Consider the following 16,561-nt stretch of genomic DNA (forward strand, 5'->3'; position numbering starts at 1 on the left):
GTGGCAGCCAGTTCAAAGGTGGGGAAAAATTCCAAAAGGAAATATCATTAATAAACAAAATAAGGAAGAAGTAATCTTCAGAAATACAAATTTTCCAGAATTTATTAAAAAAAAAACACTAATCCTCAGATTCAGGAAACCCAACAAATTCTAACTAAGATAAAGAAAAAAATATTAGCCACGCGTGGTAGCATGCCTGTGGTCTCAGCTACTTGGGAGGCTGAGGTGGGAGGATTGCTTAAGCCTGGGAGGTGGAGGCTGCAGTGAGCTGAGATCACCCAACTACAAGCCAACCTGAGTGACAGAGTGAGACCCCATCTCAAATTAAAAAAAAAAAGAAAAGGAATAAATCGACACCTAAACACATCCCAGAGAAACTACAAAGCATGAAAGACATAGACAAGTAAAAACAGGTAAAGAGAAAAGACAAATTAACAACAATTAGACTAACAGATGACTTCTTAACAGCAACAGTGGAAGCCACAAGTCAGTAGAATGGTTATCTTTAAAAGAGCTGACAGGTCAGGTGCTGTGGCTCACACCTGTAATCCCAGCACTTTGGGAGGCTGAGGTGGGGAGATCACTGGAGGTCAGGAGTTCAAGACCAGCCTGGCCAACATGGTGAAACCCAAACCCCGTCTCTACTAAAGATACAAAAAGTAGCCAGGCATGGTGGCTGTAATCCCAGCTACTCAGGAGGCTGATGCAGAAGAATCGCTTGAACCCAGAAGGCGGAGGCTGCAGTGAGCCAAGATCATGCCACTGCACTCCAGCCTGGACAACAGAGCAAGATGCCATCTCAAAACAATAAAAAATAAATAAATATAAACAGAAGAGCTGAGAAATTCCTAACATAAAACAAAATAAGACATACGCCCCAGTCAGGCATGGTGGCTCACACCTGTAATCCCAGCACTTTGGGAGGCCAAGGTGGGTGGATCACAAGGTCAGGAGTTCGAGACCAGTCTGGGCAACATGGTGAAACCCCATCTCTACTAAAAATACAAAAATTAGCCAGGCATGGTGGGCCTGTAGTCCCAGGTACTCAGGAGGCTGAGGCAGAAGAATCGCTTGAACCTTTGGGGCAGAGGTGGCAGTGAGCCAAGACACACCACTGGACTCCAGCCTGGGACAGAATGAGACTCTGTCTCAAAAAAAAAAAAAAAAAAAAAAAAAAAAAACAAAAAACAAAACATAAGCTCCAAACTTCGTATACAGTAATAATGAGCACTTGCCCCCCCAACACTGTATTCTCTAAATATCACTGCCCACTAAACTGACAGATTAAGGAGAAATTGATAAACACTGTCATAGAGGAAGATTCATCACATCTCTCAGTAACTAAATGAATAAGCAGATGATAATTCAGTAAGATACACACAAAATTTGAACATCACAATTAACAGTGTATATGTGCATAAGTGCACATGTGGGGGTGTGCTGAAGTAATAAAACCATAAAGTTGTAGCAGTGGAAAAGTATAGGATTGTTTCAGAGAAGAGAGGGGAGTATACACTGGGTGATACTGTTAAAAGCACAGATTAGGGAAGTACTGGAGAACATATTAAATGCTGAAATAAGGCTCATGGTAAGGAGCCCATGATGATGGGAATCAAAAAAAGAAATTGTATATAAACTGGAGTTATATTACTAAAGTAGCAAGATAAACTGTCAAATGATGGAAAACAGTATATATAGCATAATTCCTATTTTAAAAAAAGGTTGTGTATATATATGCATGTATGAATGTCTTGATATAAATATAGAAGTTTGGAATGATACAGAAACCGTAGAGGTGACATTTGGATGTACCGAGGGTGGAAAAACAAAGTAATATTTTCATTGTTTAATCATTTGTTTTATATTTTATTTATGGTGTACTTCTATTGCTTTTATAATGTAAGTAACATGTAAAATGAAAAATTAAAAAAGAAAAAAGAACTTCCTAAAAGATAAAACATTCTACCAGTATTTGAGACACTCAACAAAAGGAAACTTGCAGAAAGTAAATTTCTTAATATTCACCAGAACTCAGCAGTACGGTATTGATAAAATCATCACCTGTGGCAATTTCACCTTGATAATTGGGGTTTTTGTGTTTTTTTTTTTCCCTAAAGAGACAAGGTCTTGTTATGTTGCGCAGGCTGGAATGCCTCAGGCAATCCTCCCGCTTCAGCCTCCCGTAGCTGGGACTACAAGCATTTGCCACTGTGCCCACTCTGCTAATTTTTTAATCATGAAAGTTAACAACAAAAAAAGTTAATGTATACTTGTTATAATTTATTATTACAGAGATTGTAAGAAAAAAATCAAGGCCAGGCGCAGTGGCCTATGATTCCCAGCACTTGGGAGGCCGAGGCAGGCAGATCATCTGAGGTCGGGAGTTCGAGACCAGCCTGACCAACAAGGAGAAATCCCATCTCTACTAAAAACACAAAATTAGCAGGGCGTGGTGGCGCATGCCTGTAATCCCAGCTACTTGGGAAGCTGAGACAGGAGAATCGCTTGAAGCCAGGAGGCGGAGGTAGCAGTGAGCCGAGATCACACCATTGCACTTCAGCCTGGGCAACAAGAGCGAAACTCCGTCTCAAAAAAAAAAAAAAAAAACAAAAAAAGAAAAGAAAAGAAAAGAAAGAAAGAAAAAGAAAAAATCATTTATCCCTACGTCCCATCTAATTTCTTTAGGGTAAACAGTATTAACAATTTAATATATATCCTTACATATCATCTTCAATATTCATACACAAATGTTTGTTTTTTGTTTTCATAAAGAGAATTATATACATATTACCTTGCTACTTATTATTCATTAGGATAATTTTAAATATATTTACCTACAGTTGCAAAAATGCATTTTGTTTTATCTACATGAAATGATTCTGTTTGGGTTTTTAAAGATACTTTTGTTTCTTATGAGTGAAAACACAGATATCAAACTGAACCTCTTAGAACAGTTGAGCTGATTAAAATGTTAAAATAGGACACAACAACAATCTGGTTATCACAGGCTGTTTTTTCTTTACTTGGTTTTTTTGCTTTTTTGTCTTGTTTTTACAATACACTTTTCTAAGCTGCAAATCTATTATCAAGTTTGTTTCAACTATCAGTAGTTAAAAATAAGCCTAAGTAACCTAAGATACTGCATACTCCCAGGCCAGGCCAATTCAGTGCCCCTAAGAAATCCTCAGGAGGCTACAAGTTGTAGCTCCCAAATTCAGCAGAGGGCTGAGTTAGATTCTGATCCTCTGCCTCAAATAGTACTTACAGAAATTAGATGAAATGACCTATGAAGTCAATGTATCCACCCACATGTTGGGAAATCTTGGTCCCTAAGAAATAACCAGCTTTTTGTCCAGTCTAACTTTTACTATACACAGGATGGGCCTTTCACCAAAGCCCAAGAAGAATATCTCACTAAAGGTCTTAATGTATAAATAAATTATAATAATAAAAATAATAAAGTAATATTTCCAAAGATTTGCTTACTGTTACCTATCATCTTTTTCCCTAGCTAAAAAGAAAAAATTGTTCTCATTGGAGCACCATCCTTCAGATAGTTAATTGGTTATAGCTTGCTACTTTGTCCTTATATAGAACCTAATTTAGGTTAAAGAAATTACAATGTGTAAAAAAGACCCTATACCAAGATCCTCTAAAATTTATCATTATTACCCACTCTCCTGCCCATCCACCACAATCCACTACACAAGTGTTGTTTAAATATACATTACATTTTGTTTATGGTTTTGTTTTTTTTAAAGAATAAACACATTCAAGGGCAATGAACAAAATACATTCAGGTTAAAACCATCTCATCAAAATTCTCTGCAGTTCCAAAGAAGAGACTATTCTTTTTTTTTTGTTTTGGTCTTATATGCGCTATGAATATGAATATGACAGCTTCACGGCTCCAACGTAATTATAGAAAATAAAAATAATATGACATTACTTTGGCAGGCAGGCATACATTTTCATTTAATATGACACAATAAGATTACTACTTTCTCCCAAAAGTTAACTCCTATTGCCAATAAAAACTTACTTCTAGTTCTTTAATTTTTTCTTCTGCTATTTTCTGCTTCTCTAACAGCTGACTGTGAATTGCTTCCTTGGACTGAAGAATAAACCTATGAAACACAAGAAAGTTGAAAATTAAGCCACATGACTATTGAATTCATCGAAATCAATAGCTACATACTACAAATATTAAACTGAGCAAATTAAAAGGACAAATGCATATTAACATAATACGTCAAGCTCAGGAAACCACCAGAAGTTTAAACCTTCTTGGCTGAGAAGGAATAAAGGCTTAAAAGTAGATTCTGCTTTCTTATTTAATATAGGAATCAGGCAGGGAACAGTGGTGTGGGCCTACAGTCCCAGATACTCAGGAGGCTGAGGTGGGAGGATTGTTTGAGCCCAGGTGTCTGAGTCTAGTCTGGGCAACATAGCAAGACCCTGTCTCATTAAAAAAAAAAGCGGGGGGGTTGCGGGAGTTGGGCACAGTGGCTCACACCTGTAATCCCAGCACTCTGAGAGGCCGAGGCAGGAGGACTGCTTGAGCCTGGGAGTTCAAGACTAGCCCAGGCAACATGATGAGACCCATCTCTACAAAAAATAAATTTAAAATATTAGTCAGGCACAGTGGCACACGCCTGTAGTCCCAGCTACTAGGGAGGCTGAGGTGGGAGGATCAATTGAGACTGAGATATCAAAGCTGTAGTGAGCCATGATTGTGCTACTGCACTCCAGCTTGGGTAACAGAGCAAGATCCTGTCTTAAAAACATTAAAAAAAAAAAAAAAAAGAAAAGAAAATCAGGCTTCAAGTAGATTCATATGTAAAAGAAAAAATAATAAAGGAATAAAAATATATCATACGCTAAGAGAAAAGTCAACATACAAACAAATACCCTATAAGTTTTGTTTTTTCAGTTATCTGTTTCAATTTTTATCTAGATATTTTTTAAACTATATTTGTAAAGTGGAGCGCCCCTCCATTTTTTTTTTTTTTTTGTAACAGCAGTAACTCATGACCTTTTAAAGTCACAATCAAGCACTGTGTTAGGATCAATGCATTAGTGTTTATATGAGTTCCTCAAACAAAAAGCACTGTATAAGCCTTAGTATCTTTTATTATTATTTCCAGAGTGTATATAGTACCTCTGAAAAGCTCAAAATGTACAAGTGGAAATTTTCAACTTTTTCCATTTTACATCAGGCACATTATTTACCACTGATGAGGGTGGAAATATGGAGAAGTTTTAAAAATTAACACTGAAACTGTTTTATGACTTTATGTTCACAATTCTTGCTTCAGGGAAAGGAAGAACAAACTTTTATAGCCCCAAGTAAGTGAACTGAAATATTTCCCCTCCACTGGAACCAAGGGAAGACCCCAGTTATGCAAATCTCTTTCAGGACTGTCTAAGGAAGCTAAAATATATTTCAATTTAATATTGCAATTAATTAAGCAAGATTTTTCTTCTCTTTGCACTAACAGAGTTCAGCAACAAAGAACTAAACATCATCTCTTAACAAAAAGTCAAACGAGAAAACACATCAAGGTAGCAACATGCAGTTTCCTCTGCCAACCCCACAAAAACATCATTGTGCCTAGGTGGGTTCTTATCAAGAGAGTCCGTTATTATAGATATAAGACAAGTAAAAACAGACCAAAAAGGGCAATTAGCTATGCCCCAACACCTGGAAGGAAACTGCCTTGTCCCCTCTTCTTCATAACTAAGCCTTACCACACATATTAATAAAATCTGAAGAACTTCTTTTACTCCACTAATTATTAAGCTTATATCCTAATGCGGCCAGCCCAGATAATTTTTTTTTTTGAGACGGAGTCTCGCTCTGTTGCCCAGGCTGGAGTGCAGTGGCATGATCTTGGCTCACTGCAAGCTCCACCTCCCGGGTTCATGCCATTCTCCTGCCTCAGCCTCCCGAGTAGCTGGGACTACAGGCGCCCACCACCACGCCTGGCTAATTTTTTCTATTTTTTAGTAGAGACAGGGTTTCACCATGTTAGCCAGGATGGTCTCGATTTCCTGACCTCGTGATCTGCCCGCCTCGGCCTCCCAAAGTGCTGGGATTACAGGCATGAGCCACCACGCCCAGCCCAGCCCAACTGATGATCTTAGTCTTCAGTAGTAACTTGATTCTTTGTAAAACCTTACTGTATATTTACAGGAAAGAGAGCCCACATTCATGCAAAACAAGGATTAATTCCAGGTCTTTTACTATAGAACCCTTCATGTCTAAAATATTCTTACTGGATCCAAGAGATGGGTGCTATTTCAGATAAGATTATGGTTTACAGAATATTTTTCTCAGAACTAACTCATATTTGTATTTGAAGAGAAGAGTTGTTTTGAACAGTACTAAGTCTCAGTAATGTTATGTAAAAACTATTCTAAAACAAGGTGCAAGAGTCACCAAATTATGTCATGACATGTGTGATTTTACTGAGAAAGTCTTTTAGCCATGGAAATAATTTTTTGAGTAAAATATACATTTTTAAGTAGCACTGATAGCTGGCCAATGAGTACTATTCTCAAATAAAAGGTCATCAGACATCATCTTTATTAGTGTCTGGGAAAATTTCAAAGCTAAGATTAGAGGTCAAGTCATTACTTATGTGGCCTTTAAAAATAAAGTATCTGAACAGATACTAAATCTCTTGAGCAGAAAATAAAATTACTAGAAAGCAAGAACACTCAACAACAAAAACACGTTTTTCCATGACCACATATCCTTTGAGGTAGCTATACTGGACTGTGCCAACTTCAAAGGCCAGAGAGATTCCACCGAAGCTGGCCAACTTACTACTACAAACCTAAGGACATCTCAGCCACGCAAGTTTTAACAAGGATGAATGTTGGGTAAATGCAAATGTCTACCTCAAAGAGTAGTTACACAGTAAAAATTCAAACACAAAAACTTATGGAAAGTTTGGTTTAGTCCTCAATTTAAAAAATGGCAAAGATATATTGTATGAAGACTGGAAAAGGCTCCAAGAAACATCTGATTTCTGAAAAAAAGTCTTTGGAAAACATCTTTCTTATTGTTTAAAAGGGCATTGGATTATCAGATACTATGTGAAGAGAAAGGATTTATCATGATAATATAAGTCTTATCATAAGCAAATATTATGTACACAGTTGCTCAATGTAGAGAATCTCATAGTCATTCTGCCTGATTGTTTATGGAAAGCCAAATAGTAAATAAAGAATTCTGGAGTTCAAAATGTACCAATAAGGAAAAATAAACCATGAAGAGGGAAAGTATTCTCTCATGACAAATAATATGCAGATAACATGCTTAAAATACTCAGGATTATATAACCTGAATTCGAGTTGATGCTTTGCAAAAGGCCTCTTCTTTGACCTGGAAATCAGTGCCACGTGCCTCTGCACTGTCCACTCTCAAGGACTTGTAACCTGCTATTTCACTTCCTCATTTATTTGTAATTATGCCATCTGAAAACATAATTCTGAGACTTTCGGTTTTGATTATTTGAGAAACATCAGACTCCGTTTTCTAAATCATCCTGCAGTTTGGTACAACTTCCACTTTCTTATAACTCAGTATGAATCAAAACCATTGTTCACCTGCCCAAAACACAATCCCAGATCACTTGCACTGCTGCATTTTGGACACAATTTCCAAAGTATGGTCACCTAGACATATGCTATTCAGAAACAACAAAATGCTTATGACGAGTTCACTTTGGGTGGGAAATTTTTAGAGGGTGTCTAAAAACGTATCCTATTAGCATTTAGGTTTCAGGGTATTCACAAATTAAGCAGCATAGAAAAGACATAAGAATGAGCCTATCTTCAGGAGAATGGCGTGAACCCGGGAGGTGGAGTTTGCAGTGAGCCGAGATCGCGCCACTGCACTCCAGCCTGGGCAACAGAGCGAGACTCCATCTCAAAAAAAAAAAAAAAAGAATGAGCCTATCTTGCTTCTTTGCCTAACTCCACTGGTGAGGAAAGTTACTGAATTTTTACGTCGTAATTTTTAGCGTGGAAGCAAGTAGAAATAAATTGAACTTCTTTTTTTAAAATTTTTTTAAATTGAATTTATTTCTTACTTTAATCACTTCCTTAGTAAGGAAGTGATTAAAACTTTATGGCACATCCACATTGTGGACTGCTCAGTGAGTTACAGACTTCTGTTATTGGCATAATGAAGAGTAGATACCCTGAACACTCCTGATTAGAAACAAAGGAAAAAAAAATTTTTTTTTAACATTTTGTTGAACTAACACAAAAGGAAGGATTCCACAAAGGTCCAAAGTGAAGTGAAACTGGGAATTCAGGAATGTAAGACAGCAGTAAATTGGCTTTCATCCTGAGAGTTTATGCTGAATCCTGGAGACCTTAAGTATCCACACTGGCACAGAAATAGGATACAAAACAGGAGATAAAACCAAGGGGGCAGCCAGGCATAATGGCATGCACCTGTAGTCCTAGCTACTCAGAAAGCTGAGGTGTGAGGATTGCTTAAATCCAAGAGTTCAAGTCCAGCCCAGGCAACATAGCAATGCCCCATGTCTAAAAAATAAATAAATTTTTTTAAAAAAGAATGACTAATTAAATAAAAAACCAAACCGAAATTTAAAAAAAAATATTTTTTTTATTGACATGTAAAGATGTCAATATAGTAAGTTAGTAAGTAAGTAAAAACTCAAGTTTAAAAAATTAGCACGTCAGCCAGGCGTGGTGGTTCACACCTGCAATCCCTGCACTTTAGGAGGCCGAGGTGGGTGGGTCACTTGAGTTCAGGAGTTAGAGACCCGCCTGGCCAACATGGTGAAACCCCATCTCTACTAAAAATACAAAAAAATTAGCCGGTGTGGTGGCGGGTGCCTGTAATCCCAGCTACTCGAGAGGCTGAGACAGGAAAATCACTTGAACCCATGAGACGGAGGTTGCAGTGAGCCAAGATCGTACCATTGCACTCCAGCCTGGGTGACAGAGTGAGACTCTGTCTCAAAAAAAAAAAAAAAAAAGAAAAGAAAAAAGAAAAATCAGCATGTCATTCCATTTTCAAGATGAAAAAATATGTAAAATAAAAAAGGATTTACACAAAGATGAAATGGGACTGGAAAAGAAAGAGAGAGCTTTTTAAAATTCATTGCTCGAAAAATGTTTCCTCTTGAATCCTCAATTTTTTTTGCGGGGGGGGGGGGGGGGGGGGGGGCGGGGGAGACAGTCTTGCTCTGTTGCCCAGGCTGGAGTACAGTGATGCCACCTCAGCTCACTGCAAACTACGCCTCCAGGGTTCAAGCAATTCTCGTGCCTCAGCCTCTGGAGTAGCTAGGATTATGGGTGCCTGCCACCACACCCAGTTAATTTTTGTATTTTAGTAGTGATAGGAGTTTACCATGTTGTCCAGGCTAGTCTCGAACTCCTGACCTCAGGGGATCCAACCGCCTCAGCCTCCCAAAGAGCTGGGATTATATATAGGAGTGAGCCACCATGCCCGGCCAAAGTTTTCTAAGTATGTAAAAAATTACCAAGTACAAAAATAAGACCTAGTCAGGTTAAATACCTTGCCCAGCTTGTATGTATTAGATTAGAACACTCGGTCTTTTTCGTACCATATTATAGTGGCTCTAATGTAAGTTATTATAAATATGTGTGTATGTGAATATATGTATACAAATAATCCAATCAACCTTGGATTAACTAGTTGGTTAAATTTGTTTCTCACAGGAGATACAGGCAAACAATTCTGAAATTGCTTTATATGTGTATGGGGATAAATAAATAAGTAAATGGACACTGGATGGTAGGAGCCGGGTTTCTCATATGAGAGAGAAGTTACAGATACGCAAGAAAGGAAGGCTAAAATGAACCCTGTGGTATCGAAGAGTCGGAGATATCAGTATAAACTCACAATCAGCTTAGTATGTGTACAGTGATGAACAGACACAGAAACAACTGTAGATATGTACATACACATGAATTAGTAGCATATATACACATATTATCTATTGCTAGTCACCAGAGGGCCTAGAAACGGTAACACCTCAGTAGTAACAAATAAACCCAGTGACCAGATATAGATTTCTAAATAACCACTCTCCAATAAAAGGAATCAGGAACCACAGCTTCTTGGAAAAATGACTAACTATAGGGCTCGGCAGGGAAAATACAAGATGAACCTGGAGCATACTGCAGTATGAGAAGGTCAGGAAGTACAGTAAAAACAAAAAGCTAAAGAAAAGACAAGCCACAGATGGAAGAAAATATTTGCAAAACACATATCTGATAAAGGATTTGCATCTAAATTATGCAAAGAACTCTTAAAATTCAACAATAAGAAAACAAACGACCATATTTAAAACAGGCAAAAGATCTGACAGACACCTCACCAAAGATAACACAGATGGCAAATAAGCAAGTGAAAAGATATTCAACATCATATGTTATTAGGGAACTATAAAATAAAATTATGAGATACTGCCACACACCTAGTATAATGGATAAAATCCCAAACACTGAGAACACCATATGCCGATGAAGCTGTGAAGCAACAGAAACTCTCATCCACTGATGGTGGGAATGCAAAAATGGTACAGCCCACTTTGGAAGACAGTTTGGCAGCTTCTTACAAAGCTTAACAGATGATCAATCAAATGCAGTCCATTATCCAAATGAGTTGAAAACTTCCATGCACATGTGCAAATGTTTACAGCTGCTTCATTTGTAACCGCCAAAACTTGGAACCAACCAAAATATTCTTCAATAAGTGAATGGATAAACTGTCAGTACATCCATACAATAGAATATTATTCGACGACAAAACGAAATGAGGTATCAAGTCACAAAGACACAGAGGAGCCTTAAATGCATATTGCTAAGTCGAAGAAACCAGTATAGTATGAAAGGCTATATATTGCATCATTCCAACTATATGAGATTTCAGAAAACGCAAAACTATATATAGAAACAGTAAAAAGGTCAGTGGTCACCAGGGAAGACAGTGGGGAAGGAAGGGGAAGAAGAGAAGAACAGGTGGAGCACAAGGAATTTGGGGGACAGTGAAACTATACTGTATGATAACACAAAGAGTGACCCCTAATGTAAACTATGGATCTTAGTTAACAATAATTTATCAATATGTTTTCATCAATTGTAACAAATGTACCACACTAATGCCAGATGTTAATAAGAGAAGAAACAGTGTGGGAGAGAGTGGAAAGGGAGTGAGAGCTTGCTGTTCTTTCTGCTCAATTTTTCCGTACTACTAAAACTACTATAAAAAAATAAAGTTGCTGGCCGTGCACGGTGGCTCATGCCTGTAATCCCAGCACTTGGGGAGGCCAAGGCGGGCAGATCACCTGAGGTCTGTAGTTCGACACCAGCCTGGACAACATGACAAAACTCCGTCTCTACTAAAAATAAAAAAAATGAGCCAGACATGGTGGCGGGTACCTGTAGTTCCAGGTACTCGGGAGGCTGAGGCAAAGAATTGCTTGAACCCAGAAGGCGGAGTTTGCAGTGAGCCGAGATCACACCACTGCACTCCAGCCTAGGCGACAGAGGGAGACTCTGTCTCAAAAAATAATAATAATAGTTGCCAGGCACAGTGGCTCACGCCTGTAATCCCAGCACTTTGGGAGGCTGAGGTGAGGGGATCACTTGAGTCCAGGAGTTCAAGACCAGCATGGGCAACATGACAAACTCCCATCTATACAAAAAAATTTTTAAATTAGCTGGGTTTGGTGGCACATGCCTGTAATCCCAACTATTTGGGAGGCTGAGGTAGAGAACTGCTTGAGCCCAGGAGGTCAAGGGTGCAGTAAGCCACAATCACACTACTGCATTTCTAGACTGGGAGAAGGAAAAAAAAAAAAAGGAGTAAATCTCAAAGAGCTCCCAATGGTCAAAGCAGAATTATTTGAGCAACAAAATAAATAATGTAGTACTAGATTATAACAGACATACAGCACCTAGACCCTGTCATACCTAGACAAAAGCAATCTACAGATCACTGTATGCTCAAATCTAACTCTGAGGGATGCTGCTGCTTCATCTCTGTACTATGCTATCCATGTTTCCCTCATTAACTACTGTATCCATAAATCCCTCCTTCCTCTTTCTTCTCCAGTGCCCATACTACAAGCACTATGCAAGGCTCTCTGCTAAACAATCTCTACCCAAAGTCCCTAGGAGAACTCATTTATTTTCAAGGCCTCAACTTAGCTAATAACCCTCAAAATAATATCAACCACTATCACCTGCACCATGCATGTTCAGCATCTATGATCACTTCTACTTGTATGTTCCATATCACCTCAAATTCAACATGGCCCAAATTAAACTCATTTTATCAACCCATACCAACATTCCCTATAAGTAGTTTCACCATCTCGACTTCAGCTTCCATCAATATCACCACATGCAAGTCCCAAAACGGCAGATATCCTCCTTATATTTCTAATTTATCACTTTCTCTCATACTGACCCTTCACCTCACTATTCCACTTCCACCACCTTAATTTATGCTCTTATTACTAACCTCCTGAATAGCTTCCTGCCTGCCTATGCTCCCAGACTAAACTCTGCCTAATTCATCCTAAATATATCAACGGTTTTCATATAGCTAGCCCTCAGTTATTGATCACTATAATGACTGTTGATGACTTTGGCAGACATTATTGTTTATCCCATATCCATTTCCTTTTCTTTGTTGATTGAGCCCCAATTTTGTTTCGGTACTCTCTATTTTCCCAAGTAAATCAGAGAATTGAGTTCTAGGCTGAATCTTGATTGGCCTTACCCAATCATTGCAGTTGCATCCCCCAAGATTTAAGCCTAAGCATGTGACTCAGTTTCTGTCATGAAATATAAGTGGGAGACCATTAGAAGACTTCTGGAAAGGTGCTCCCATGAAGGTGACACCAGAAAACATGGCACTTTCTCACTCTGGTTGTTGTCATGCCTCAATAAAATCCCTGGAATTCCTGTAGCCAAGCTGATGACAAAGCTAGCAAACACAGGGAGAAGGGCAGGGCCAGCGTACCGAAATAAGTCGAAATGAAGCCCAGCATACGGCCCCTGAGGAGGCCTGACCTATATGACATGAGTAAATCTCAGAAGCATTACACTCAGTGAAAGTACATACTATAATGACTCCATTTATATATTGCATCTATATAAAGTTCTAAAACAGAAAAAATTAATTTACGGTCATAGAAATCACATTAGCAGCAGCCTGGAGCCAGGATTAAGGAAGGAGAGGATTCAGTTGAAAGAAGCAAGAAAGAAATTATTTTAGAGTGATGAAAATGTTCTTTATCGTGACTGGGGTGGTGGTTACATTTGTCAAAATTCACCCAACTGTACTCCTAAAATGAATGCATTTTATTCTATATAAGTTATAACTCAATAATGCTGATTCTTTAAGAAAGACATCTGATACCATAGAGGGTAGAAGAAGGGAAAAAATGAAAGACAATTAGTATCATTGTCCCCAGATGGTGAGGTACGATGAAGAAAAATAAAGCCAACAAGGGGCAAATAAGTGTGGGTGCTGGTTAGGTGTATACTTTTAAATAGGATGGTCATGAAAGGCCTCATTGCCTCTTTAGAAACAACCTGTAGGAAGAGAAAGGGTAAGCCATGGAGACACCTGGAAGAAGGCTTCAGGCAGAGAAACTGGCAAGTGCAAAAGACTTTGTCTTTTTCACTGATGAAATGGGAGGCCATTTGACTACAGTGATCTTGACTTACATTTTCAAAGGATTACTCTGGCTGATCAGTTTAAAACAGACTATAAAGGGTTAAGGACAGAAGCAAGGAGCCTAGTTAGGAAGCAACTGCCATAAACCAATGGTAAATTAGACCAGGGTGGTGGTAAGTAGAAGTCTTCAGATTCTGAACAAAATTTAAAGATAGAGTCAACAGTATTTGCTAATGAGCTGAATATAAGATTGAAAGAGAGGGGCCAAGGGTGACTCCAAGATTTGGAAGAATTTGAAGTGTGGAAAAGCCACTTAGTAATACTGAGAGAGGAGATGGTTTGTTTATAAACAGCAAAAATTTTATCTTGGCCAAGCTAATTCTGAGATGCCTATTAGACCATCACATGAAGATGTAAAGTAGGCAGCTGAATATACAAGTCTGGAGTTCAGAGAAGGGGTCTAAGTTAAAGATAAAAAATCTGGGAGTTGTCAGTATATAAAAATGCATTTAGAGATACTCCTGGATGAGATTATTAAGAGACTGAGTACATATAGACAAAAAAAAAGAAAAAAAAAATCCAAGGGCTAAGGACAAAGTAAATTTAATATTTACAAATGCAAAAGAAATGAAGACAGTAAAGGAAGCTGAAAAGGAATGGACAGTGAGGTGGGAGGAATATCAAGAAGTGGTGTCCTGCAAGCCAAGGTAAGAACGTGCTTCAAGGAAGAAAGGTCAACAGGACCAAATGGTACTGATAGGTCAAATAAGATGAGGACTGAGAACTCACTGGAATTACTGGAGAATCACTGTCCCTTCCAGAACCCAATCCCATACAAGCGTTCCTTGTTCTAGTAGAGTAACACACACTGCTATGTTCAATTTTTACTAATTAAAAATTACTGCCTATTTTTAAATCAAAACTATTACTCCTGAAATGGAAGCAGTAGTATGTTAATCTATTTTAAACATGATGTTTATTTCGGGTTACTATTTGGTATTCTAAGTATTCTGGTAAGTAAGCACCTCTGATGTTTACCACTTTTACTCTGGCTTCATCAAACCCCAAACATTCCACGTATAGGCAGTGAGTTATTCCATAACTTTTTCCAAGATATGATCTTTATTTTACTAGTAAGTTAAAATATAGCAATAGATAAAATATTTTAAAATTACTATCCAATGAGTATTAGAAGACAGACAGAGAGCAGAGTACTCCTTGTACAAAAGCAGAATGTCATAGAGAAATATAAATATACTTTGGCACAAATGCCAAAGTCTCAGTCAGACACACACATACAGGATGCATATTGTGATCCAAATCTTTTTACTCTGAGCCAGTGTAAAGGTTGGGCTTAGGGCAGTCATGCTCTTATCTATTTAAAGATACATTTTTGATACTAGACTCCTGTTGCTGTACCAATTTTGGTATCAGAATACTTCAAGTCCTCTTCAAAGTGAAAAGCATAGTAGCTTCCAAGTAATGTAGTTCATTTCAAGACAACTGATCTACTGCAAAACAAGAGTTGGTAATAAGAGTTCCTGGCCAGGACAATGAAGTAACATTCTCCCAGACAGGTCCATTTGAACTTAAATTATATAAATGAAATAAGGATACACTCTTCACAAAAGCATGGGCACTAATGGTACATGTAACACACTAGTAATCCTAAGTATTTCATCAGAGTAAAGTATATTTGCAGTTAACAGCAATTTCTGATATTATAAATAAAAAAGAATGACAAAAGGCATTACCAAGTGCGTGTTCATATATATGAACTGACTCACCTTCTAAGTCAATATTTTTCTGAGCTCCTTCTTGGATATTTCATTAAGCAGATTATGTTCCTTGACATGAACATTTCAGTCCTCTCTCTCAGATTAGATAGTAAGTTATTCCTAACTTTGCACTATGAGATAAGTGGCAGCTAAAATCAGAAAATTCTTGGTATGGCTTAAAATTGACTGTTTTCAGAGAAATTCAGCTAATTAAGTCAGTTACAGCACACAATTCCTCAGTGACAAAGTTAACAGTTCAAGACTGCTGCTACCTTAATATTTTTACATAGGAACAGCAAGCAAATGGTACTTTTCACCTTTCGCTCAGTTGCTTATCATTGACTGGAAAACACTGTAGTATCCCGCAAATGACTGCTACTTTTCATACAACAAAGGCTGATTTTGTTTAATCCTTTGTCAGTTAAAAAAAAAAAAAAAGGCCAGGTCTTTTGATGTCAGGAAATGCAGAAGCAAGCAAAGTCCACCAAGTAGCTAAATGAATCAATTACATTTATGTTTTTAAAACAGGTCCAAAGCCTAAAATAAGTAACCCCATAGCAAGTTTATTTTAGTATGTTTGTACTCTCCAAGATAACAGACTTTTCCCTTTTTTAACAATAGACATCTAATTAGCATAACATTTTCAAAATTAATTTCCTGTGTTTTGGTGAGAATCTTTAGACTGGGGCATATGGGAGGGGAAGCAGGGAAATAATTATTAAAAAGTACTCGTCTGCAGAAGAAACAGGACTATGTAATTCTTACGCAAATGTTTGTTAACTCCCTCTGGCACAAAAACAGTGATGTCATTCTAGACAGCAGTAGAGCAGAGTTATAATGAACATCAAGTTTTTAAATCACTGACAACTTAAGGAAATTAAGAATATGACTTAAAAATCTCCTCTCCCCAGAGTACTAAATCTGTGCAAGAGGAATGTGTGCCCATCTGGGGTTATATACATATTCAGCGTCAACAAAACTTAAGTCATTTTTCCCTGCACAACAGGAAAAGATGTTGTTGTTTTCCCTTAGAACTCTGGGCAATGAAAGCCATGACTTTAAATGGCTCTGTATAAAA

At 37.8% G+C, this 16,561-nt stretch overlaps 1 protein-coding gene across 2 annotated transcripts in view; it reads right to left on the reverse strand.

Moving 5' to 3' along the window:
• PFDN1 (prefoldin subunit 1) overlaps positions 1–16,561 on the reverse strand; it is a 58,067-nt gene that overhangs the window by 32,372 nt on the left and 9,134 nt on the right. For both annotated transcript variants that reach the window (NM_002622.5, XM_005268465.5), the window contains exon 3: positions 4,043–4,127. In NM_002622.5, coding sequence (NP_002613.2) covers positions 4,043–4,127 — 85 coding nt within the window. The remainder of the gene's footprint in view (positions 1–4,042; positions 4,128–16,561) is intronic.

The sequence above is a fragment of the Homo sapiens genome, chromosome 5 (genome assembly GCF_000001405.40).
Source record: "Homo sapiens chromosome 5, GRCh38.p14 Primary Assembly".
NCBI classification, from domain to species: domain Eukaryota; kingdom Metazoa; phylum Chordata; class Mammalia; order Primates; family Hominidae; genus Homo; species Homo sapiens.